At 36.6% G+C, this 27,019-nt stretch overlaps 1 protein-coding gene and 1 pseudogene across 8 annotated transcripts in view; one reads left to right on the top strand and one right to left on the bottom strand.

The window, feature by feature from the left end:
* Positions 1 to 2,548: 2,548 nt before the first annotated feature.
* The window catches only part of TRMT11 (tRNA methyltransferase 11), a 285,804-nt gene continuing 261,333 nt past the window's right edge, over positions 2,549 to 27,019 (bottom strand). For 5 of the 8 annotated variants that reach the window (XR_007059327.1, XR_007059304.1, XR_007059310.1 and 2 more), the window contains one exon: positions 2,549 to 7,837. The gene's annotated coding sequence lies outside the window, so the exon portion shown is untranslated. The other 3 variants (XR_007059309.1, XR_007059293.1, XR_007059311.1) reach the window with 2 other exon arrangements.
* PPP1R14BP5 (protein phosphatase 1 regulatory inhibitor subunit 14B pseudogene 5) lies at positions 16,561 to 17,163 on the top strand (annotated as a pseudogene).

Genomic DNA, 27,019 nt, shown 5'->3' with positions numbered 1-27,019 from the left:
GGAGGAAAAGAGTTTTGTTTCCTGGTTTCCATGTTCTCACTGGGCAGGCACAGTGCCCAGCAACACCCAGTGGCCATCAGTTTCCCTTAGCATACCCTTCAGGTGTTTTTATAACAGAATACCTCTGGTGAGACACCTCCCTGTGAACAGCTTAGCAGATTCCACCAATGTGGTTTCACAGTGACTTCTTTGTTCTCAAGGAACTGATTTCTCTCCAACAAGACTTGAATCTCACTTAATCTTGGGAGAATGGGAGGTCTTCATCCAGGTCTATCTCATTCTTAGGAGCAGTAACTGTTTCTTATATCAACTATTCATGTATTTTTAGTATTCTCATTACTTCATACTAGCCAATTCCACACTACATCAATCCTCTGATAGAGTTAATATGTTACATTAAACTTTATTCATATTACTGTGTGGTTTCTCTCTCCTAACTGGTCTCTGACAGAGATACATATCCCAAATGAGAAATCTAGTGGAAAGTAATCTTGTAAGAAGCGAATAACTAGATGTAGTTTTTTTTTAAGTACTAGAATATACACACAAAAAATACATTGTTTACAAACAAATGTGAAATTATTTTATTTGTAATTATTAATTCAATTGAAATGTTAAGTACAATAACCATAAACCAATTCAAGTTGAAATCTGCTTTATTTTTATGTCATTAGTTTAATATTTTTATCTTATTTTTTATTTTTTACTATATTTAATGGGAAGTAAATAAGGAAAGCACCTGGCATGCTGATTCTTATTACATTTTATAAAGCATGTAAGTTAATAATTATTTAAATTTATTCAAATAAAACCTAAATATATCACATTTAATAGATGTATGCTGTAATCATTATCTGCCTTTGCAATTCAATATGTATTTAAATGCCTTTTTATTTTGGCTATAAATATAGCCTGAGCCCGTATTTCAGAAAGCCTTGGGAATGTTTCAAGCCAAAAAGAAAGAAAAAAATATTAGTTGAGTTTAATTCCTTTCAGCCAGTTATGCCTAGGGAAATACATATTGGAATGTAAGAAAGTCAATTCTCATGTGTTTGAAGTGAAAAATTAATCAGAAAGCAGCAAGTTTGTGGGATTCCATAATACACATATTATTGGTAACTTTAAAAATTCATAAAAGTTAAATTTAAGGCAAAGTTGGCAGAGAGTAACTGATTTTCAAACACGATGAGCTTCATAACAGGTTTAACCTATTTACTTATCATGACTGAATGGTGAACATGAAGGAGTGCTTACTGAGTTCATTGCCCATTGAAAACATATGACTCTTAAAACTTTTGTTTATGCATAGAAGTGTGACTTTAAGGATTGGAAAATCTATGTTAAGAAAAGCTAAACTTTTCTGAAACTTAAGACCACCCTGTGCTGTGATTTTCTCAGTTCTCATAAAATAAACTAGGTCTTACTTTGTCATTTACTTAGAAGGAAGACCACCAAAGAAAATCCAAGGTGTGACTACATGCAGTGATTCTATAAATAGGCCCTTTTTGGGAATCAGCTTTAATATTGGCTTCAAAATCGTGTTCAAAGCTGTCTCAACCACACACATCGTCTACATAGATTGCTTTGGTTCTCTGATTTCTGATTTAGACACTGACTCCTTGGAGATTGCAGAGAAGTCAAGGGATAAAAGTGAAAATGCCATAAGACTGATTCAACTGTAAGAGTGCTGGGAAGGTAGCAGGTTTGAGTATACTCTCTGTACTCAGATCCTTTCTGGATGGAATCCTGGCTCCCTTCACTTTGTACTTTCAGCATTAGGCAATTCACTTTTCTGAGCCTTGGTTTCCTCATCTGTAAAATAGAGATAAGTCTAACCTCATAGAGTTTCTGTGTGGAGTAAATGAAATACTTTGTATAAAGTGTCCTGCACACAGTAAATTAAATGCCAATTCCCTTCCCTAACATCCCCATTCCTGGGAACATATTTTTACCCAATACTAGTTCAAAGTTTCCAGCAAGAGTTAGGTAATGACAAAAAGGAGGTAGAAAGGAAGGTATGTAGTCATGAAAATCAGAACTAAAAAATGAAGAGACAGGGAGAGAAAAGTGGAGGGCAATGTGGAGGACAAAATGAATTTGTTGCTGTTTTCCAATTATTATTTTTTTCCTTTTTATGCGCTAAACTTTCCGCCATCACATTTCTTGACATCGAATAAATTGCAAAAGAAAGTAAGTAGAATATACTTCACTGCACAATCAAAGAAAGCACAGTTTACCCAAGAAACCACTGGTTCCAGGTATTGCTTTTATTTATAAAATATAGGAATCTTCTAGATTAGTAAGCAAAGGAATGCCCATATGCAAAATATACTAATTATTGGAATGCTTTTATTCTGTTTTAAATTACATGTCATAAAGCCAGTCACACTAACTTTCTAGCAACACAAACACACACACACATGCATGCACACACACTTTTAAGCATTGTCCTATCAATTGTGTTATTTCATTTATTTATTTCTCATAAAGGATAGAACACTGAAAAGGCTTCACTAGACCATTGTCAACAATTTTAAGACAATGCAAAAAACATCAAAATTTTTATTTTAAAACAAGTCAAGTTTTAAAATAAATACTCAGAGAATAACATACAATATGCAGAAAATACATATTCTGAAAAGGTCACTTACTTAGTTTTGGTTAATTTAAGGACCAGAATTTTGTCTATAGAGCATGCTCTGTCCAATGCAAGCGCCATATACAATATTTACATGTGCTTTTAAGTAGGAAATTTATGAGACTGACTAAAGGATTTATTCATAATGATGAAATCCATATTCTATAATAATAACTATGTACATTTTTTACTTCTATATAAACTATGTAATATTCAGCATTCTGATATTTGTCTTCAGTTTCTCCTCATTAAGGAACTGATGGTAACCCATATCAATGTGGGTATGAAAATCGTCCTTTTCCTATGAAGATCACATTTCATGTCCATGCAGTCTGCTATCTATTGACACTTCACCTTCTTGGTTCTGAATTCTTATTAGTGTCCACAGGTAAATCTTGTTAATCTGGTCCTGTTTTTCTTTGCCTCTCAGTGAACACTCTGATATCGACCTTCTACAGCTCTGCTCCCTCTTTTCTTTAAATAAAATTATGACCTTCCTATAGTCATAATTGACAACGGGTCCTCCCTTTACTTAACTCCTTGACACTTCATGACAGTGTCAGTCACTGAATGCCCAATGTTTTATGTAAGATGTTAAATCCAGTATTTTGGTAAGCAACCTACATATTTTCTTTTAGACAGATGTAAATATGGCATATTTTTACCAAAAATATATTTTGCCTCTGATTCCTCCTGACATATATTTTTAATGGCTGTTAGCATTCTATAAGAACTTTCAAACATAAGTCATATATATATATATATATAAACCATTTGGGAAATAAGAATAAGATAGAATGTGAAAATTATTAAAATATCACATAGGTCAGTTTTGCCCTCAGATTTCCAAATGAGATTCACTTTCTTTTTTTTTTTTTTTTTTTTTTTTTGAGATGGAGTCTTGCTCTGTTGTCCAGGCTACAGTGCAGTGGCACCATTTTGGCTCACTGCAACCTCCACCTCCCGGGTTCAAGCGATTTTCCTGCCTCAGCCCCCTGAGTAGCTGGGATTACGGGTACATGCCACCACATGCAGCTAATTTTTGTATTTTTAGTAGAGATCGGATTTCACCATGTTGGCCAGTCTGGTCTCGAACTCCTGGCCTAAAGTGATCTGCCTGCCTCAGCCTCCCAAAGTGCTTCAATTACAGGTGTAAGCCACCACACCCAGCTGTGATTCACTTTCTATGAAGCAAGATTTCACTCTCTCTCTTTAAAAATGTGTGTGATGAGAACATGTTTGGGGCCAATTAAGATATTATACTTCACAAATACTTGCTTTATATTTACACCAAATTAAATCAGCAAAATGTGACCAAAATAATCAGAAGATAGCAAACTCTGAAGAGTAAGAACACATGATGTGCTTTCCAAGTATTCACAAAATCATAGAAAGGGTAGAAAGGTTGAAAAACATGGGAAAATTACAACATAATGATACAGACAAGCAAGGTAACAAGGAACAATTCAGAATGTGATACATAACTTTTTGACTTATTATTTTGAAATAATTTTAAACCTACAGAAATGTTTAAAAAATATTCTTTATCCAATTTTTTAACATTTTGCAAAATGTATTTTATTATTCTTTCTCTGAAAGTTTTGCTTAATTCCTCAGCATGTATTGCCTGAGAACAAGAATATTTGCTTATATAACTACAATATAATTATCAAATGCAATAAGTGTAACATTGATACAATACTTTTATCTAATTTTTAAAAAATCTATAGTGCATATTGCCATTATGCCAATTGTTCGAACAACATCATTTATAATATACTTTTTCTCTTCATTCTAGGGTCCAGTCTAGGATTATGTATTACATTTAGATATTATGTTTCGTTAGAAACCCTGAAGTCATTTTGTTACAACCAATTTTAATCCAAACTCATAAGGTTCTTCACCATCCTTATTCTATATTTGCATCTCCCTTCTGTGAGTACCCTGGCTCTCAACACCATCAATACATTTACTCAATTTTGTCGAATTCTGTAATAAAAACAAATAGGGTTTCAGAATTTCTACACTCATGTAACTAGAAAAAAAGAAACCTACTAAAAGAATGTAAGATACAGGGCCAAGTACTGTGCTCAAATTATCTGGATTAGTTCTTTTTCCCCTTTTGGTGTGGTTATGCCATGTATCTGAGATACAATTATATATTTGAAATACTGCTTGTATTCCATTCCAGGTATTTTCCCTATCTTTGTTGATTTTACTTCCATTTTGAATATGTAGAATACTGACATGCTTCCAAATGTCAAAGGTGTACACAAAGGTATACTCAGAGAAGTGTTCTTCCCTCCCCATCCCTTCCACCACTCCCTCTCTTACAGGTAGCCAGTTTCAATGTTTTCTGACTTATCCTTATGTTTCTTTCTGAAAAAATCAGCAGATACATATTTGTTTCCTTATTCCTCCATCTTTCTTATATAATAGGTAGCTTACTCTGGAGATTAATACTTTGGTTTTTTCTCTTAAAACACATTATAGAAATAACTTCCTATCACTTCATAAAGCTCCTCCTCATTCTTATTTGACAACTGTATTGTATTCTGCTGTGTATATGTAAAGTTTTTCAACCAATTTCCTGTGTTTAGACATTTATAACTATTTGCAATTATAAACAATGCTATAATGAATAATCTTGTGCATATGTAATTTTGTATGGTTGGAAGTGTACCTTCAGAATAAATGATCAGAAGTGGGATTGCTGGGCTAAAGGTAAGTGCATACAGTATGTAGTTTTGTTTAATTCTACTTTATCTGATATAAAGATTTAACCCCCTGATTTTTATTTTTTCCACTTGACTGGTATCTCTTTGCCCATATATTTAGTTCTATCTTTTTAAAATTTCTGTGTGTATTTGGTATGTCTTTTTTATACAGTATAGAGGTGTATTTTGCTTTATCAGCCAATTTGAAAATATTTTTTTCTTTAATAGGTGATTTAAACCCAGTCATATTTTTTTTTTTTTTTTTTTTTTTTTGAGACGGAGTCTCGCTCTGTCGCCCAGGCTGGAGTGCAGTGGCGGGATCTCGGCTCACTGCAAGCTCCGCCTCCCGGGTTCACGCCATTCTCCTGCCTCAGCCTCCCAAGTAGCTGGGACTACAGGCGCCCGCCACTACGCCCGGCTAATTTTTTTGTATTTTTAGTAGAGACGGGGTTTCACCATTTTTTAGCCGGGATGGTCTCGATCTCCTGACCTCGTGATCCGCCCGCCTCGGCCTCCCAAAGTGCTGGGATTACAGGCGTGAGCCACCGCGCCCGGCCAACCCAGTCATATTTTTATATGACTAATATGTTTGGTATCAATTCTATCATATTATTTTATAATTAATTTATTATGTTGTACTTACCGTAGTCTTTTCTTCTCTATGTTCTCTGCTATATTTAAAATTTGTGTTTGGTTTAGAAAGGTTTGTATTTTTTTACCTATACATCCAATTTTGTGTTTTAATATCCAATTTTAACATCTAATTTTTATTAAAAATTAATAGCTGTAATTAATAAGTAACTTGGATTGAATAAAATGTTCCAGAACACTAACAAACATGTCTATCACACATTATGAACTCAGTTTTAACAAGGTTTGGGAGTGTAGGCCACTGCAGCAGAATGTCCCAGCTGAGAAAGAAAGAGGCTCAAGTCTCAGCCAGAAGATTTAAACAATGGCATTCATGGAACAAATTCTTCTTGATTTTACTGGGTTCAGTTTGTAAATAAATTATTTCCAAAGATGCGAGTTCAGAACGCCTCACACAACCTGTCTGTAAAGGTTGGGTTATTACTGGTATGCCCCCTCATCCCAGCATCTTCTTTGCTCCCACATTGTTATTTTGATACAGCTAAAAGTTCACCTCCCCAGCTCAACTCCAGTGCCTCCTAATGAGGGAAGTGTAACACTATCCAGGTGTCTCCCAGTGCAGTGATCAGAATGTCACTGCTCTGCACAGTCTGATTTATGTCAGCTTGGTTAGAAATCACCCACATGCTGGAAACCCCCTGTGGAGAGTGTGCACTGGCCCCAGGCGATAGCTCTCTTCTTCTCCTTCTTCTTGTTTCCTTCTCTCTGCCCAAAATCTGTGGTTGAAGGGACGTGCTGTGTATTTGTGAAATTATCCTCATAGGAACACAGGGAAGAACTTTAGCCTCCTTGAAATAATTTACACCTAATTTAGTTTAAGGAGCATAAATGATGGGACTGCTTTATAAAATCAACAAGAACCATCATTTGCACAATTTTTCATGTGGTGTTGGAGCACACGCAGCAAACACTTTCTATCTTCTGGGGCTAGCAAAATCTCTCAGAGTAAGAGATTATTTTTGACATTATGGTTCTAAATCTGAAGAAAAAAAAATAGTCATGGCAGATGGCCTGGGGCCAGTCAGGAAACCCTTAATCACCCAGAAAAACAAGGAACAGGAGAGGTCATTATTCTTAGTGGGCCAGACTGTAAAACAATGTTTTTAAGTCTTCAGATTTATAGCAAAGCACCTTGAAATATCTCAGGCAATTATGAAGAATAAGACTGCTCCAAAAGGCATTATGCAAAATTTTCTTGCTCATTTTTCTTAAGCAAACAAAACTGCCTAACCATCTTCTAACCTCACTAGAGAGCTTTCCTGTGGTAGCAATCACAGAATTCTTTCACTATGGTAAATTTAGCAGAGTAAATTAATTAATCCTAAGCATTATAATAATTTAATGGAAGAAGAAATTAATTAGGGACAATAAGCATAAACTTATTCATTTTCAAGCATATAATTTGGCCCTAATAGCTTCCACCTGTCAGTGTACAAAGACTATGAGAGATTGACTAGAAGGCCTTCAGGTGGGTGGCCCATATTGGACCAGAGTCATAAATCCTAAAATTACAGGCAGTAGTAAAGATTAAAATGAAAATGAAATTAATACTTACAGAGTCCTGCAATGTGCCAGGCTCATCATACCTACATCCTTTCATTATATCATTATATCACATGTACATTAAATCATTTAATACTTAACAATGACCATGAAATAAAAGCATTATTGCCAACAGTTTTATAAATTAAGAAACTGTGACCTTGACTAGGTAAGTGACTTACCCAAGCTCACACAGCTGGCTTGTGGCAAAGTTAAAATTCATTTCCAAAGACCATATTCCTTCTAGAGTTCCACACTAGCAATGGGCAGACCCATGTGGAAACAGGGCCTAAACCAAAATATGCAATAAAATTTTGTCATAATAAAAAGTAATAATAATAATGAGATTTTTCATGTCACTCTTATTGTCAGTACATTTTATCAAACATACTCATGATTTTCTTTTATCTTTACAGGTTAAGGAGGAAGAGGACAAATGAGGAAATTCTATAATGTTTAACTGTCTTCCTGTTCTTTTATGAATCTCACACTATAAAAAAACTGTGATTAAGCATGACAGGCAGTCATTGTAAAAGAACAATTCCCTTTTAGCAATAGGGTGAAGCCAGGAAAAAATGTTGAAATCCCTGGAAACAGTTGATTATTATGGCAATGAAAATAAAATTTGATTATGTTCCAGACGATATTGACTTGCAGTTTAGAATAATAACAAAACATGAGAGGAGGAGGTTTTGCACCTCATTTGTGTTATCGCTTAGAAGACAAAAAGAAAAAGATGGATAGCTTTTATAAAAAGGAACCCCAATGCAAAGGGCAGTCCCATATTAAGAGATTAACACCTAAAAGAAGAACTAAATAAGGGAGGTTTACATCAAAGAAAGAAAGACAGAATTTCTGGGATGTCCTAGTTCCTAATACCTTAAAATGCTTAAAAACACACCAAAAAAGCTGCCAGTAGCTTCATTTAGCTGTTGAACACTAAAGCCTTAAAATTAGCACACACGAGTGGTTACCGTAGAAAGCTCTGATGCTGAATAGGAACATGCTAATAAGTGATTTAGTCATATATTAAAAGTTCACTCTTCACATTCTGAGCGCCCCAAGTAATGTAGAAATATATTTTGGAATTTCTTAGGACTATTCTCATAAGGAAAGTCACATGTTCAAGGGAAGATATAACACGCACTAGACATCAGGCAAACTTGTTTTAGTCCAGCTGAGTCATCAGGGTTGGTCATTTAACTTACCTGGGCCACAGTTTCCCCATCTACAAAATAAAGGAATGTAACTGAATAATTTACAATCATTTTCAAGGGTAAGATTTTGATTGTGAGCTATGTTTCATCAATAAAGGATTTTGTTTAAAAAAGATGGCTCATAATCCTGAATTTCATAGACTCTGTTCCTGCCTTACCCAAGGGTTTATAGGAACATGGATGAGAGATCACCTTTAGAGACAACGCCAATAAATTATAGACATATGTTTCTTTTGACCTTAATATTTACAAAGTTATATGTTGCTTATATGGCTTGAAGAAGAATGATAAATATAATGTCTTCAGAACATAATTCTTTTTTCACAACTAGCATACAGAGATGAATATTATTGATGCTAAGATCAAGTTTCCTGACTCTCAGTAGGAATCATTGTACATGTGTTAATTAATCATTGGAAGCCTGGTCCATTTTTTGTCCAAATGAGCAAGTAGCTGCATTAGAAAGAAATAGAAGATTAAATATACCAGGTAACATTATACATTAAAAAGGTAAAAGCTATAAACTTAAAAAAACTATAAATTAATATGGTAAAAGTTTACATGAAGAATTTACATGTAATTCTTCAATGCTACTGTTGTTTCATTTTATAGTTTTATATAGTTATTTTGTTTTAGATGTTTCAGTTGCTAGTCATGAGTAAATGAAAACTGAATAATTAAATAGAATTACAATTATTTTAACAGTAAAAATTAGAAAAGTATCTTCAGTAAAACCAAAACTTTGGGATAATTTATAAAAATGTCATCAGTTATTAGAATTTCAGCAGATTTTAGGGATATATACAGCAAAAATAATACTATAGGAGGTAAATATTACAATTATACAATAGTAAATATGGTGAAGTGAATCTGTCTTCACAAGATTACATGTTGAGGTTAAAATTTATCATTCTCTTTAGAGTTTCATAGCAAAACCTGAAATTGTGTCTTATTCATGTGTAAACAAGGCCACACTCAATACTATACATTAACACGTATACAGGTGTGCATGTGTGTATATGAACATAAATGTGAATATACAGTAACAAATTGAATTACAACTCAGTAAGCCAATATGAAAGAAGTGTTTATATAAAATGAAATTTGGTGTAGTGCTCTGAAATCAACAGAACTAGATCTGAACCTTGACTTTCCCATTTACTAGCTGTATTCATCTATGTTCTCCAGAGGAACATGAGCCAATAGGATACATGCACATATATATAGAAAGAGATTTATTTAAAAGAATGGGATTATATGACTATATATGATTTTGGCTTGATGAATCCAAAATCAACAAGGAGGCAGGCAGGCTAGAGATACAGGAAAGAGTTGCAGTTTAAGACCAAAGGCAATTCTGCTGTAGAACCAAGAAGATCCAGTGTTGCAGAGAAAGTCCAAATGCAGTCTGCTGGGAGAATTCCCTCTTGCTTAGGGATGGTTAAGTTTTTGCTCTCTTCAGGACTTCCAACTGATTGGTGGAGACCCACTCACAATACAGAGAGCAATCTCTTTTACTCAATATCTATTGATTTAAAAGTGAATTTCACAGAAATATTCAGAATAATGCTTGACCAAATATCTGTGCTCCATGGCCCAGCTAAATTGACACATAAAATTAGCCATCACACTAACTGTGCAAGCTTAAGCAAATCAATAACCTCTGAACCTCCGTCCTTGTGAAATTTGTAGAATAATATTTACCTCTTAGAGTTGCTGTGAGATTATACACACATAGTTAGTACACAGCAGGCAATTAACAAATATCAGTTTTCTATATATACATATTTTTATGACCATGATTCCTCAAGTATAATTGGCATATTTAAAGTGAAATAAAACTGAAAAAAAGAAAGAGAAAATAAATAAAATATATTTTGAATATATGTTCTCCTCACAGAATTGATAAAGAAAATACAATAGAAAGTAGTTTACTCCTGTTTACTCTCCATGCTTACAATGGACTATATCTTAATGGTGTTCCTTTAACTTGACATAAGGCTCCATTTGGTTTGGTGCCTAAAACCACACCTAGGCACGTGTTAATGATCAGTAATATGCACTCTGCCGTTCTGGAGCAATTATCTGCTGTCAAATTCTTACTTGAGACATGTAAAACAAGCAGAAATTCACTGTTTTAAAGAATGTTTCACTATATTGCCCAACCGAAAACAAACTAATATTAATGACCTCTCATTTGGAAGATTAAAATATAATTTTTAAAGGTAGATGAATGCAGCCAGCTAAAATAGAAACTGCTCTTAATCGCTAACCTTTCCTCCAAATTTAATCAAAGTCTCTTTCTGAGGTTTGAGAAACTTCAGAGTTTCCCTCAATTTTTCTTCATTTGTGCCTCTCTCTGCAGTTTTGGGTTCCAGCTGGAAGCAAACATACCCAAATACCCTAGATGAAGTTGTTCTCATAAGATGTCCAGCCCAGTTTTCAAGACTTGAGAGGTTCAGAGGGTTCAGATAAAGTTTGGGATCAGCAGCCAAGCACTTGAACGCTTATTTGAATTGAACCTTCTAAGTTTTGTCCAATATTAGCCCTTTAACTGGAGATAAATGTTTATTACCTCTCATTAGCTCTTTGTGTCTTAGATACATCTGGATCCACATAGCATTAAGATATTACACATTTGTCATTTTGCATGTTTTTGTGGAGATTTTTGTGTTGTAACATTTTAATAAATTAAATTACAGTCACAAGAGGAAATAGATAAAGAAGAGTTTAGTGATATATTTATATGTTTGCCAATTACCAATATTTAAAGACATACAAGTTTTAGACTTAGCGATGGAGATCACCTAATTCTATGGCAGAGGCATATGACATGGAACTATAATTCACTATTTTCCCCCCAAAATAATTAGCATGTTTAATAAGTAAATGTTTCATAATCTATATGGAAACCCAAGAGCAGATAATTCCTTTTAATTTAAAATTGGAAAAAGTGAAAAAAAGTTCTGGTTTGAGATGGCAACTGAGCTGAACATAATTCTTTTCTCCCCCTAGAGACCCCAATAAAATGATACTAAAGGATAAACCTTTAACACTGAAGAGAATAGGAAGAGGGTAAATATCAGTTAGGACATTGTAACAACTCTATGTAAATCAAAAATGAAATGGGAGGAGTGATGTTAGAGTTACCTGACACCTCCCACCAAGAAAAACAGACCAAAACAACAAAATAAATAAAAATGTTTTGACTAGTGAGACTTAGGAAGTATGCTGAAAAGCACCAGGGAAATAGCAAAATCCCTGTGGAGCACAGAAGCCCAGGACAGAACCATCAGGAAGGAAGTGAGATATTCTGCCTCTGCCACACTGTCTCCTTCACCAGGACTGGTTTGCAGTCAGGGTAGCTTCTTACAGGGAAAATGTAAGTTGGATATCCCCAGCAGTCCCTATTGCTGCCACAAATGCCAGCAATCCTTGCTACAGGAGAATCCCCCAGTCCTCATAGGCCCTAAATCCAATTTGAAGAGTATCCAAAATTTCACACAAGTACACTGCTGCAGAGTAGGAGCCTACACTGAGCCCCTAGGCTGTTAAGGATGGCTAACTGCTAGAGTGGCTAGAGTGTGTCCTGTCCTGGGAGGTTGTAGCAATGGACTCTCTCCATCCCTGAGGCTCCATGATCATTCTGTCACATTCACATGGGTGCCTGTAGTACCACAACCGTGGCTACCTGGATTCCAGACCATATGAACAACCAAGACTCTGGTGCTCAAGTCCATACAGCACATCACCCCTAAGGGAACAGGTATACCTGTGCAGTGAGAATACTACCATGCAGCTAGCTCAATGCCCTGCCCACATGAACTCATGTTGTACACCTGGCTGGACGGCAAGTTCATGTGCACCCACACCTAACCTGACTGCCAGTTCTGCAGCGGCTCTGCTTCCCTGACAGGCTGTTGCAAGCCCTCCGCTCCACTACACTCACACTGAATCCATTCTTGGCCTGACAGCTGGTATGGTGGAAGAGCCATCCTTGCACACATACTGCTGCAAAACTTCAGGTTCCACTACACCAGCATGAACCTTCACTTAACCCAGTAGCTGGTCCCGCAGCAATGCTGCCTCTACAGGCAGATAGCCACAGGACTTCCCACCTCGCTGTACTCACACAAACCCATGCCTGGCACAATAGCTTGTCTGAGAGTGGCCCACCCCTAGACAGACTACCGTAGGACCTCCCAGCCTTGCCGTGTCTACACATGGCTCAGCTCAGTCTCACAGCTATCCCAGTAATGAACTCCACCTCCCTGGAAAGCCTGACAGAGCCTCTTGGCCCATTGTGCCTACACATACCCAACCCAACAACCAGCTCAGCACTCCCACCTACAGCAAAACTACACCAACACCATCATAAACTCATGCAGCCTAGACCAGTAAGGCAATCACAGAAATTACTGACAGTGATTACAGCTGAAGAAACTTCATGGAGTCCATGTTACTGACTCACCCAAAACCAAAGTCAATGCACCGTACCTCACTAAAACTCTAGAAAGTGTCTACAGGAAGAAGTCTATCCCTAGGACAATTAATTCACAAATTGGAAAAAGAAACTATTCTACTAGATACACGGATCAATGTAGGGACATAAGAAATATGAAGAACCAAGGAAGCATGCATGACAGCCCCCCAAAACAAATAAACACAGTAAATCCTTAGTAGCAGACTCCAAAAAAAAGGATATTAACAAAATGCCTGAAAAATTTCAAATTAATGATCTTAATAAAACTCAGTGAGATACAAGAGAATACAAATATTTCAATGCAATCAGAAAAGCAATTCATTATCTGAATGAGAATTTTAACAAAGAGATAGATATTACATGAAAAAAGAACCAAACAGAAACATCAGAGCTGAAAAAAATCAGTTAATGAAATAAAAACTACAATTGAGAGCTTTAGCAACAGACTAAACAGAATAATGAATTTCTGAACTTAAACAGATCATTTGAAATAACTCAGAAGGGACAACATAAAATAAGAATAGAAGAGAATTTAAAAAGCCTATGGGGCTTATGGGATACCCTTAATCACACAAACTTTCTCATTATAGTAGTTTTAGAGGGAGAAGAAATAAAGAAAGTCACAGAAAACCTATTTAATGAAATAATAGCTGAAAACTTCCCACATATTGGAAGATATACAAACATCCAGATTCTAGAAACTCAAAGCTCCTCAATTAGATTCAACTTCCAAAAAATCCTCTCTGAGGCATATTATAATCAAACTGTCGAAAGTCAAAGACAAAGAGATAATTCTAAAAGCTGCAAGGGAAAAGCATCAAGTGATATAGAAGGGGATCTCCGTGAGACTATTAGCAGATTTCTTAGCAGAAAACTTGCAGGCCAAGAGAGTGAATGATGTAGTAAAAGAGAGTTTAACAAATAAATTCTTTCAGTCAAGAATACTATATCCAACACAACTATTCAGAAATAAAAGAGAAATAAAGACCTTTACAGAAAAACAAAGCCTGAGAGAATTCATCACCATTAGACTAACCCTACAAGAAATGCTTAAGGGAGTGCTACAACTGAAAATGGAAGGACAATAATTACTACCATGAAAACACGTGAAGGTATAAAGCTCACCAGTAGCAACCAGTTCATAAATCAAACTCAGAATATCACAGTGATATAATGGTGCTATATAAATCTCTCAATTCTCTGATATAAAGGTTTGAAGTAAAAGTGGTCAACGACAACAACAGTTACAATTAGTGGCTAGGGAACATATAATAGAGAGAAAAATTAGGCAATTAAAATTTAAATTGAAAGGAGGAAAATGTCCAGAGAATTTTTATGTGACCAAGGTTAAGTTGCTATCAGCTTAAAATAGTCTATTTTGGCAAGACTCTTTATGTTAGCCCAGTGATAACCACAAAGAAAGCAATTATAGCAAATAAACAAGAAAGAGGAAGGAGAAAGCTTCACACCAAACCACAAAGGTATACAACAAAATAAAAAGTGGGAGTAAAGAATCTATTAAACAACAATAAAACAATTAACAAAATGGCAGGAGTAAGTTCTTATCTAACAATAATCTTTAATGTAAATGGTTTAAATTCTTCAATTAAAAAATATAGAGTAGCTGCATGAATAAAAAAAACTAGACCCAACTATATTCTGCCTGCAAGAGACTCACCTTAGCAGTAAAGACAAACAGACTAAAAATAAAGGGGTGGAAGAAGATCCCATACAAACACAAATTAAAAGCAAGAAGGAATAGTCATATTTATATATGATAAAATAGAATTTCAGTAACATATAGTAAAAAGAGGCAAAGGTTATTCTTTAATGATAAGGAGATCAGTTCAACAAGATGATATAACAATTATAAATATATATGCACCCAAACTGGAGCACCCATATATATAAAGCAAATATTATTAGACCTAAAAGGAGAGAGAAACTGAGATGCAATTATAGTAGGGGACTTCAACAGCCCACTTTCAACAATACCCTTACTAAGAATATACCCAAAGGAATAGAAATCATTCTATCATAAAGACACATGCACACATACGTTCATTGCAGCACTATTCACAATAGCAAAGATATGCCATCAACATAATACCCATCAATGGTAGACTGGATAAAGAAAATGTGGTGCAGGCCAGGTGCGGTGGCTCACGCCTATAATCCCAGCATTTTGGGAGGCTGAGGCAGGCAGATCACCTAAGGTCAGGAGTTCAAGACCAGCCTGGCCAACATGGCAAAATCCCGTCTCTACTAAAAATGCAAAAATTATCCAAGCGTGGTGGCACATGCCTGTAATCCCAGCTACTGAGGAGGCTGAGGCAGGAGAATTGCTTGAACCCAGGAGACAGAGGTTGCAGTGAGTCAAGATTGCATCACTGCACTCCAGCCTGGGTGATAAAGTAAGACTCCATCTCAATTTTTTAAAAATTTGGTACATTTACAACATGGAATACTATGCAGCCATAAAAAAAATGAGATCATGTCCTTTACAGGAACTAGATGGAGCTGGAGGCCATTATCCTTAGTAAAGTAACACAGAAACAGAAAACCAAATACTGCATGTTCTCACTTATAAGTGGGAGCTAAATGATGAGAACACATGGACACATCAAGGGGAACAACACACATCACGTCATATGGAAGGGTGGAGGGTGGGAGGAGGCAGAGGATCCGGAAAAATAGCTATTGAGTACTAGGCTTAATACCTAGGTGAAAAATAATCTGTACAACAAATCCCCATGACACGTTTATCTATGTAACAAACCTGCACGTGTACTCCTGAACTTAAAATTTTAATTTTTAAAAAGATCAACAAAAAGAAATGTTTGTTTAAAAAAACAAAATTGAGAAACTTTAACTAGACTGAGAAAAAAATACCCCAAAAAAATAAAAGATTAAAAATTAGACATTACAATTGATACCACAGAAATACAAAGACACATAAGGAATTATTGTGAACAACTATACTCCAACAAATTTGATAACATAGAAGAAATGGATAAGTTCCTGGATTACAACATACTCAGATTAAATTATCAAAAAAATAGAAAATCTGAACAGACCAAAGAGTGAGAAAATTGATTCTGTAATAAAAAGTCAGGGGCGCAGCAAGGGCAGACCTGGGGGCTCCGCATGCTGCAGCTGTCCCCCAGCACCCCCACTGTAATCTCCGTGGAGCTGCGCAGAGCGGAGCCAGCAGGCTAACCCGGGCCAGCCACCAGGAGCCAGGCAGCTGGCGTCCAGACACAGTGAGGGGACTGATGCACGTACATGGCCCTGGCAGCCGCCATGGCAGACGGCGGCCCTGGCCCCAGGGCGGGGCAGTGGTGGCTCAGGACCACGTGTTTACTTTCAGAGCCCACCCCCCAGGGCCGCAGGAGGAGGCCCGGGCGGCACAGACGATAAGGGCCCAGTGAGGCGCCAAGGGAAGGTCACCATCAAGTATTACCACAAGGAGCTACAAAGTGCCTCAACCTGGAGGAGTGGATCATGGAGCAGCTGACACAACTCCCCGACTGCCAGGAAAAGGAGATCCCAGAACTGGAGATTGACGTGGATGAACTCCTGGACATGGAGAGTGAGGATGCCCAGGCTGCCAGGGTCGAGGAGCTGCTGGTTGACTGTTACAAACCCACCGAGGCCTTCATCCCTGACCTGCTGGACAAGATCCGGGGCATGCAGAAGCTGAGCACACCCCAGAAGAAGTGAGGGTCCTTGACCCAGGTGAATGGTGGCTCAGGACAATCACTGTCCCCCCGACCTCATAGCAAGAGCAATACCAGCGGACCCTGTGGCCAGGCTCAGTGCCATGAGCAGGTCTCTTCCCCTGCCCCCTTCGTTTTCCATTTTTGGGGTTCTTCATTGTTATTAAACCGATGAGACTTTTTGTGTTTTTATGTTGACTCTGTGGCGCAGGACCTTTAATAAAGCTAGGATATGCCTTTGGTGCAGCTAAAAAATAAAAATAAAAATAATAAAAAGTCTCGAATCAAAGAAAAACCAAGGATCTGATAACTTCACTGCTTAATTAGTTCTAAAGAAGAACTACTACCAGTGCTTCTCAAACTATTCCAGAAAATTGAAGAGGAAGGAAAACTTCCAAACTCATTTTATCAGGCCAGATTTATGTTGATTTCAAAACTGGATAAGGACTCAACAACAACAAAAAGAAAACTATAGGCCAATATTCCTGATGAACATAGATGTAAAAATTCTCAACAAGATACTAGTAAACTGAATCCAGGAGCACATTTAAAAGATCATTTACAATGACAAAGTCAGATTCATCCCATGGATGCAAGGATGGTTTAATATATGCAAATCAGTAAATATGGCACACCACATTAACAGAAAGAAAGATAAAATGAAAAGGACCTTTTAGACCCCAAAATAGCTACAAGCAGAAAACAGGCTGAGAAAACTACTCGCTTAAAACACAGGCTAGGCCGGGCACAGTGGCTCACACCTGTAATCCCAGCACATTGGGATGCTGACGTGGGTGGATCATTTGAGGTCAGGAGTTCAAGATCAGCCTGGCCAACATGGTGAAATCCCATCTCTACTAAAAAAACAAAAATTAGCCGGGTGTGGTGGCACACACCTGTAGTCCCAGCTACTTGGGAGACTGGGGAAGACGAATCACTAGAAACTGGGAGGTGGAGGTTGCAGTGAACCGAGATTGCACCATTACACTCCAGCCTGGGTGACAGAGCAAGACTCCATCTCGAAAAACAAACAACAACAACAAACAAACAAACAAACAAAAAACAAAAAAACACAGGCTACCTTTTATCGGCAATAGGAAGGAAGGATGACTCAGAGAATAAAAGAACCTAGGGAGTAAAGCCAAGAGCACAGTGGGACTCATTCCCAGAGCTCATAGGAATGAGAGCTTATCAAGGAAGTGCTAGCATATATCCTGCTGGATTTCAGAATTATTATGGACCAATGTTTCCTATGTGCCTCCCACTTTCCCCTTTTTTGAATGGAAAAGTTCCTAGTACTTTTCTTATTCCTCTTCCATTATTGTATTTTGAGTGGATTTGAGATGCAAATAATTTCTTTACTTCACAGGTCTTCAGAGGGATAGGAATTGTGTTTGAAGAGCTGTACTTGAAGAAACACACATAAGGAGCTTCATGTGCACTTGGACCTGATTTAGATGACGAGAACCTAGTCCTCAAGCTGATATTGTAATAAGAAGAAACTGAGGATTCTTGGGAGAGGATGAAATGTATTTTCTATTTGGAAGAGATGTGACCATTGAAGGTGAAAATGCAGACTCCATTGGTATTCACTTCATTGTGTATTCCCTTCCCATATTGACTCAATCTTCAGAATACTGTAAAAGTAACTATGTATGACTTCCAAAGTTAAGTCATAAAAGGTATTGCAGCTTTGACTCTGACCTATTGGATTGCTCCAAGAAAACACAGTCATCATATCTTAAAGACACTCAAGTAGCCCAATGGAAACACTCACATGGAGAGAAACTGAGACCTCCTACCAACAGCCAGCACCAGCCTGTAGGTCATGTGAGAAAGCAACCTTTGATATGGATCCTCCAGTCTAGTTAAAACTTTAGATAACTTCGGTCTCAGCTGACAGATGACCACAACCTCATGAGACATCACAGAGCCAGAACTGCCCAGCCAAGCTACTCCCAAATTCGACTCACAGGAACCATAAAAGATAATAAATGTTCAGTTCTTTTAGCCTCTAAGTTTTGGGCTGACTTGTCACACAGCATTAGATAACTAATACAGAGGCCCCAAGATTCCTTTATATAGAGTAATATTATATTCTACTTTCTATCCCAACATTATAAGGCATGGGTTTATGTAGTAGTATATTATTTTGAAATATTACCTAATTATTTTCCTTCCTCATTTTTTTAACATCCCTTCCCCAAAAATTCTTCCACCAGTAAAATTAGTCCAGGAGCCCAAGGGTCATTGCATCAGGAAAGGGAAAGTCAGACATTGTCCAGAATTTAAAATCATTGCTGACATTTCATGGCTGGGTTTCAAGATAGATTTAACTTAAGTCCATAAAAGGCAATGATATGAAAGCAAGAGCATTTGATATGTAAGAGGTAAAATTTTTATTAGAGAAATTGGTTATTTTTTTCCTGGAAGTCTCAAAATTGGAATTTACTTATCAAATACCAAGCCAGATGACTACAGGTTAGAGCTTTACTATAAATAACATGAGGATGTGGCAATTTAACAATATTTCCTGCCAGATGGTCTCTGAGATGAAGAGGAAAAAGAGAGACAGAGACAGAGAATAAGATACAAATTAAGTCATGTTATCAGTTACCATTCGAAGTGCTAAAGAGAGCCTGTGATATTTGCTTTCAATTCTAGCTATAGCGATTCTCAGAAAAAAGGTATAGATATTATTGATGAAAGAAAATTATCTATCCTTATTACTTTTATTTTCTCTTAACTAAAGTCAGTATATCAGACAAAGAATTTAGAACAAAAATATAGACATATTAGTGGCTATTTGGGAAGTAATCAGAACACCTACAGAAAAGCATTAAGGTTATATACAAAGAAGAAAAAAGCATCCTTTAGTTTCTATCACTAGGTATAGCTCTCAAGAAATATTTTTTATTTTTAAAAAATAATTGATTTATGATCATATGAACATGGCCCCAAACTGAGGCCATCCTGCCATCTGTCTACCTCACAGTTGCTAGGGAACTAGAAGGCAAATGCAAAGACATTTAGAAAGGTGTTTTTTTTTATGTTTTTTGAATTTCAAATCCATAGAAATAAAGAGATTTTACAAGTTCCTAGATCCACAGACTATGTCAGATTTATTGGTTTAGGTAGTTAAAAACAAGATGAGCTAATGGCATTTAACAGTGTCATAATTGCAAGTTCAAACAGTGGTTCTTAATAATTTGATAAAAGCCAGCATGACACCAAAGAAAAGGAGAAATAAAACATAGCGATGAGGGAGAAAAAAAACTCTCACCTTGTAAGTTTCACACATTATGAGAAAAGAAAGAAGTGATGTCCTTAAATTGTTAACTATGTTGGGGCCAACCGATTTTACACATTCTATGATCTGCAGAATCCACAATATAGCAAATAAGCCCCTCATGAGACTCACGATGTAGGAGCCACATTTTATTCTATTTGTAATCTCCAGCACATGGCACAGTGCTTGGTACACAGTAAGTGTTCAATAAATAGTTGCTAAATTCTTGTTAATCTTTATAAACTCTGCAGTGGAAGGAGGTTGAAAACTGATAACAAGTATAACTTTCTTGTATAACTGCTCACTAGCTCTCCTTAGAAATGTACAATGTTGACTCAGTATTTTCCTATACCACTGCTAGCACTTAACCATACCTATCTGAGAGTTCCTGAAGGCTATTTCCTTAACCAAGCATTCCTTTAACACAATAGGTGAAGGCAACAGCACCTGGAAGAACTCTGCAGTAGCCATTCTCTGTGTACTAAAGATGATGCTGAAGGATGCTACAATGGAGCTGGCTTCCCTGATATCAGTGGTAATGACAAGATTCCTATGTAAAAGAGGCCAAGGATGGTGCTTTGTCAGAGACGAAGTGTGAAAAATAACCATAATCAACTCTAGTGTTAGAAAGTAATAAGACTGTTTGACCTGAGAAATATGTGGTGGTGGCAAGTTAATCTCTGGGTCTGTAGAAGTGAAATAGTTGACCAGTCTATGAAGATGCTGCTTGACCAGTCTATGAAGATACATAAATGGAAAAATTCTAGGTCTGCTAGGAAGAGACCTTACTTGAAGCATCCAAGTGGAGACTCAAGGGTTTTCCTTCTTCCCTGAGAGAGTTCACAGGCTTGTAGTCTCCTGACTAGGGGATAGCCTAGTCAATTTGAAGAAAAATCCTACAGTGTGACCACTGGTTTATAGTCATGTGCCACATAATGACATTTCAGTCAACAACAGACTGCATATATGACGATGGTCCTGTAAGGGTATAATGGAGCTGAAAAATTCCTGTCGCCTAGTGACTAGTGACATCACCTAGTGACACAGTCACACAACACATTACTCACATGTTTCTGGTGATGCCCATGTAAACAAACTATTGTACTACTAGCCTTTAAAAAGTCCAGAAGATACAATTAAGTATAATACATAATCCTTGATAATCATAATAAATGACTATGTTACTGGTTTATGTATTCACTATACTATCCTTTTTGTCATTATTTTAGATTGTACTCCTGCTTATTTAAAAGAAATAAGAAAGATTAACTGCAAAACAGCCTCAGGAAAATCCTTCAGAAGGTGTTCCAAAAGAAGGCATTGTTATCACAGAAGATGACAGTTCCATGAGTGTTATTGCCCCTGAAGACCTTCCTGTGGGACAAGATGAGCAAAAGTGAGTGATATTTATGATCCTGACCCTGTGTAGACCCAGCCTCCCAAAGTGCTGGGATTACAGGCATGAGCCACTGCTCCTGGCCCCAAATAATGTACATATGTATACACATTTTAGATTATAACTTGTTTTTTTTTTTCATTAAATCCAAAGACATTTTAACTTCATTATTTTCCTAAAGATATTTGACGGTATGTGTAAGCTTACTCCATACATTCTTGTTCAGATTCTGTGCTGGAGTTATTGGCAGCATTGATTAACACACACATAAACTGCAAAAGCACTCCTTGGGTTCTTGGAACACAGGAGGAATTCAATCAAAGTTAGTTTCTTTCCTGTCTCCTCCTCTACTTCCTGAAGAAACATTTAAAAATGCATAAAGAAACAGAGAAGTTGGTATTACAATACTTTCGTTATTCCGGAAAAGTTCAATAGGTAAAACCATACTAAAATCCTAAAGAGAGTCATCTTGACATTTTCTTGAGTCATTTATGCATCACTAAAACAGTCCCTTCCCTAAAATTACTTTTTCTACCTGCTTGCAGATGCCTGAAATTCTACTATTCTCTATTTGCTTTTTTCACTTCCTGTCTTCTGTAAAGAGGCAAACCATCTTAGGCAACTGATTAAGCATCATGATTGTTTTAACCACAGGCAGAAATTTGCGGATACTCTTCTCATTGAGAAGGGGTCTCTGGCCCTTCTTAAGTTATGATAAACACTTTGACTGCTTTAACCAATAAAGTATGTTGGATATGATGCTATGTGAGTCCCAAGACTAGATAATAAGAGACCCTGCAACATCCACTTTGGACTCAGAGAACAGTCACTCTTAGAGCACCTTGGAGTTGCTGTGTAAGAAATGCTGCCACCCTGAGGCCACCATACTGGAGAAGCCGTATGTAGGCACTCTTGTTGGCCATCCCAGGTGAACCTGACCCTCAGTCATCCCAAGTCACATACCAGACATGTGAGGGGAGGCAAGCATCATCTTCAGGGGGCACCGCCAAGTCCCAGCTGTCCCAGCTCTGCCACTGGAGTCACCCAGCTATTTTGAGTCATCTCAGCTGAAGCCCCAAACATATGGAGAAGAGAAGAGCTGTCCTTTCGTACCTTACTGAATTCTTGAGCCTCAGAATCTGTGAGCATATTAAAATGGTTCTTTTTCTACTCAGTGTTGTGGTAGTTTGCTACCCAACAATCAATAGACAGAAGAAGCATTATTAGCATTTACATCTCATGCATGCATTCAATGTTTATCGAAAGCCTAATGTGGCCAGACATTGTACTGGCTTCATTTAGATTGGATGAATTTCTCTGAATCTTTCTCAAGATTATGTTTGCTGGAAGCTGGGTTGCAGAGGCACTGGGCAAGATACTAAGTACATTAGGATACCTGATGTAAATAAGTTGAGGAATGGCACAGAGGATAAAGAAAAAGTTAGAACAGAGGATAGAGGGCAACATAAAATGAGTTCGGATTATTTCCCTGGACCCTATCTGGCTGCACAAGTGGGTATCTGACTGCATGATCTCATTTATATGTAAATCTGAAAGATGAACTCATAGAAGCAGAGGAGAATGGAGGTTACCACGGGCTGGGGACAGAGAGGTGGATTAGACAGATGTTGGTCAAAGGATATAAAATCTCAGTTTGACAGGAGGAATGAGTTGAGGAGATATGTTGTACAACATGGTGATTACAGTTAATAAAACAATGTATTGTATACTTCAAAATTATTAAAAGTGTGAATTTTAAACACTTTTCACACAAAAATGATAAGTATATGACATAAGGAGTATATTAATTAGCTTTTAGTCATACTACAATGTATGCATATATCAAAATTTTATGTTTCGCACCCTAATTACATATAATTTTATGTCAATTTTTAAAAATTGAAAAATTGGGGCCGGGTGCGGTGGCTCACACCTGTAATCCCAGCACTTTGGGAGGCCGAGGCAGGTGGATCACGAGGTCAGGAGTTCGAGACCAGCCTGGCCAACATGGTGAAACCCCATCTCTACTAAAAATACAAAAATGACCCAGGCACAGTGGCGGGCACCTGTAATCCCAGCTACTCAGGAGGCTGAGGCAGGAGAATTGCTTGAACCCGGGAGGCGGAGGTTGCAGTGAGCCTAGATTGTGCCACTGCACTCCAGCCTGGGTGAAAGAGCAAGACTCCGTCTTGGAAAAAAAAAAAAATTGAAAATTAAAAAAAAAAAACAAATTGGGATCTGGCCCAAAAAAATGAATTGAAATGACTGAGGTGCCTTGAATTCACCAAAGGAAATGACCTAGTTATTAAGGACAATCAACTTTCATTCAATAATTTCTGGATGGCAAAGATAGATGGTTTATCAATTTGGCATATTTGTCATAACGGCTAACGACCAAAGCTTAATATGACATAACTTTATCAAATGAAAAAAAGCCCACTGATACTTCCCTGCATTTTTAGAAATATGTATGGGTAGAAGGATATAGTCAAGTATGCCTCAAACATTTACCATATAGAAACATAATTATGTCTTAATAGATTCAGAAGCCTCTGTAGTGAGTGTCTACAAAAGGCATTTCTGAAAGGGTGGGCTGAGGGGAGGGAGATAGGAAGAGCCTTAAAATTGTAAAATAAGCCTCCAAGAAAATGTTTTTGATGCTTGCCTCATCCAAAATGAAAAGGAGAACAAAGATACAGATATTATCTTTTCTTGGAAAACCTTTAGATGACCATTCAATGCTCTTTGTATATCATGATCCTTTCATTTATAAGATATGACACACCCTGTTTTACAATCTAAGTGATCTTTAGGTAACCATAATCTTTAAATATCAGCTATTTAGCTTCCACATGCTCTCTGTTTCCTTGTTCATCAAAACTTCTTTAAATTAGCTTATATTCATACCTGCTGCCCCTACTCCTTTTCACTTCTCATTGAGGAGAGAGTTCCCCTGCAATTCTACTTCTGTCTCTACACTCTACGAAAATTACACTCATTAGGTCTCCTCCAAATTACCAAATCCAATGAAATCTTGGTTCTTTATCTGATTTAGCCTCACTGCAGCATTGAAGTCTGTTGCCTGTTCCCCTTCTTATTCTATAATAGCATATACATATCATTGTATATAATTTTATTCAAAAACAAAATAACTCATTGCAAAATAAAAGTAATTGAAAATTGTTTAACGAAGAGTGTAACAAAGTCCTTTGCTCACTATCCCTCCCTTCCACTTGTAGGGGAAACCAATGTTCATAGCCAGTGCTCATTGTGCCTGACATTTTTCTGTGTGCATCGTATGTAATTTAACATTTCCTATCCAAACTGAGAGGATTCGAGATTAAAAATAAACTGTCCTTTGCTCTCAATCATACTCCTAATTTCTGATAATCAGTTACAAACATTTCTGTTTCTTTTGGTGGTTATATCCATCATGTTTATCTTCATTCATTTATTTATCAGTTAAAACTAGATCTCACTACTACCTCTATTGTGAAGAGTGAAGAATTTTGCTGACTTAAATTGCTTTTTCGCCTCCCTATCCCCACACTTTCACACCCCCAGGCTCTAAGAGGCATATTTTTATTTATTAAGTGTTTTTGTTTGCTCATCTGTGTCTTCAAATAAAATATAACCTTTATTTCTTGACTTATCCATTTTAGGCATTATCTCACATTTTATTATGCACAATTTTATAACACTTGTCTTCTTATAGCTAAAAGTAACTCTGCTTTGTCTATAGTTTAACACAAACAAAAAACAAGAAAATATCCAAAACCAGCTTTTACAATATTATAGTTATTTAAATGTAGTTCCCTGCAGAATCAAGTAGTGTGATTGGACACTGAGTGGAGGTGGTTTCCTTGTCATTAACTTGCTGTTGGAAAGAGCACATAAATAATGAATAGAGGGGTGGGGGCAGCATAATCCTTTTATTTCTTCATTTATTGTCATAATGCTATGGGTTCACCTTGTCATTAAGGTCACGTAGCTTCTTAATCATATGTTTTATGATAGGAAATTATTTTTCTCCTTGACAAAATTCTTCCTGGAGCCCTCATACTCCCTGTTCTAATTTGCATTCTAGACCAACTGCATAACTGATATTCTGGCATTATTTTTTCTTTTTAAAAATTTTTTGGTACTTATCTTAAAATTGATTTATACCTTGTTCATTAAAAAGAATGATGTGTCAGATCACCTTCTCAATACTCTTAAAATTGAAAACTGGCATTTAAAATACTTTTCCCTTGGATAGATTACAAAAGACATCTTAATTTCAAGAACATCCCAGGGGACAATAATCTTACAACTGGTGTTTAACTGGATTTCTTTCGATGTAAAAATTGCAGTGAAATGTGGTAATCTCTAATAATAAGCAGTATTGAGTAGTGGCAGTTTTAGTAATAATATTTTGTGAAGAGTGACATTTTACTTATTGCTACTGTTTGTAATAATAAGGTTTTCAGTTCATTCAACAAATATTTATCAAGAAGTCAGTATGTGTTGGCAGTGTTCCATGTTCAGGAAATATAGCAGTGAACAGAGTTCCTCATGAAAGGTTTATACCAGTTGTTGAGTCAGAGGCAAAAGACAAGAAACATAAACTATTAAATATATAATAATAAGTCGATTGTTGATTGATATTAGGAAGGTGAGCTGAGGAATGGAGAACGGGGGTGGAATTTCAGATAGAAGGGTGTGGAACTCACTGAAAGGTGACTTTGTTTTTTTTTCTTGTTATCTTTTACAATTTCTTCCCTCCATTTTATTTTTTAAATTATCTTTATTTCAAAATAATCATGCAGTTACAGAAAAGGTGAAGATACAATACAAAGCATCTTTTCCTGAACAATTTGAGAGAAAGTTGCTGACTTCTTGTTCCATCATTTCTGAATACTTTAGTTTATATTTCCTATAAAACAGAGATACTCTGCTACATAATCACAATACACAATATATTAAGTACTCTGTTTCATTGATCTCATTTTTTACCTCTTTCTTGAGTTCCTTTGTTCTTTTTGTTGGATAAATTACATAAGCAAGTCTTTCAGAGGATGATCAATGAGTAGTAACATTTTCTATAGCTTACATACCCAAAAATGTCCTTATTTTACCTGAACTCTTGCTTTAGAGTTTGGCTGGGCGTTTACTTATAGGTTGTAGTCATATTTTTCTCAGATCTCAGTTTTCAAGCATACGGTATCTCTTATAAGAAGTTGAATTCTCATTTATTGGAAGCAATAAGTGGAAGCATTCAAAAATCTCCTCTTTACCCTTCATGAGCCTCTGTATAGCTGTGGTCTTTCTACTTCAATTGTATGCTCTTCATCCTGTGGTTTTTTTCCAAGCTGAAGATGCATGTGG

The sequence above is a fragment of the Homo sapiens genome, chromosome 6 (genome assembly GCF_000001405.40).
Source record: "Homo sapiens chromosome 6, GRCh38.p14 Primary Assembly".
In the NCBI taxonomy this organism is placed as follows: Eukaryota; Metazoa; Chordata; class Mammalia; order Primates; family Hominidae; genus Homo; species Homo sapiens.
Note: the sequence above shows the minus strand (reverse complement) of the source record. Positions and strands in the feature narration are given on the sequence as shown.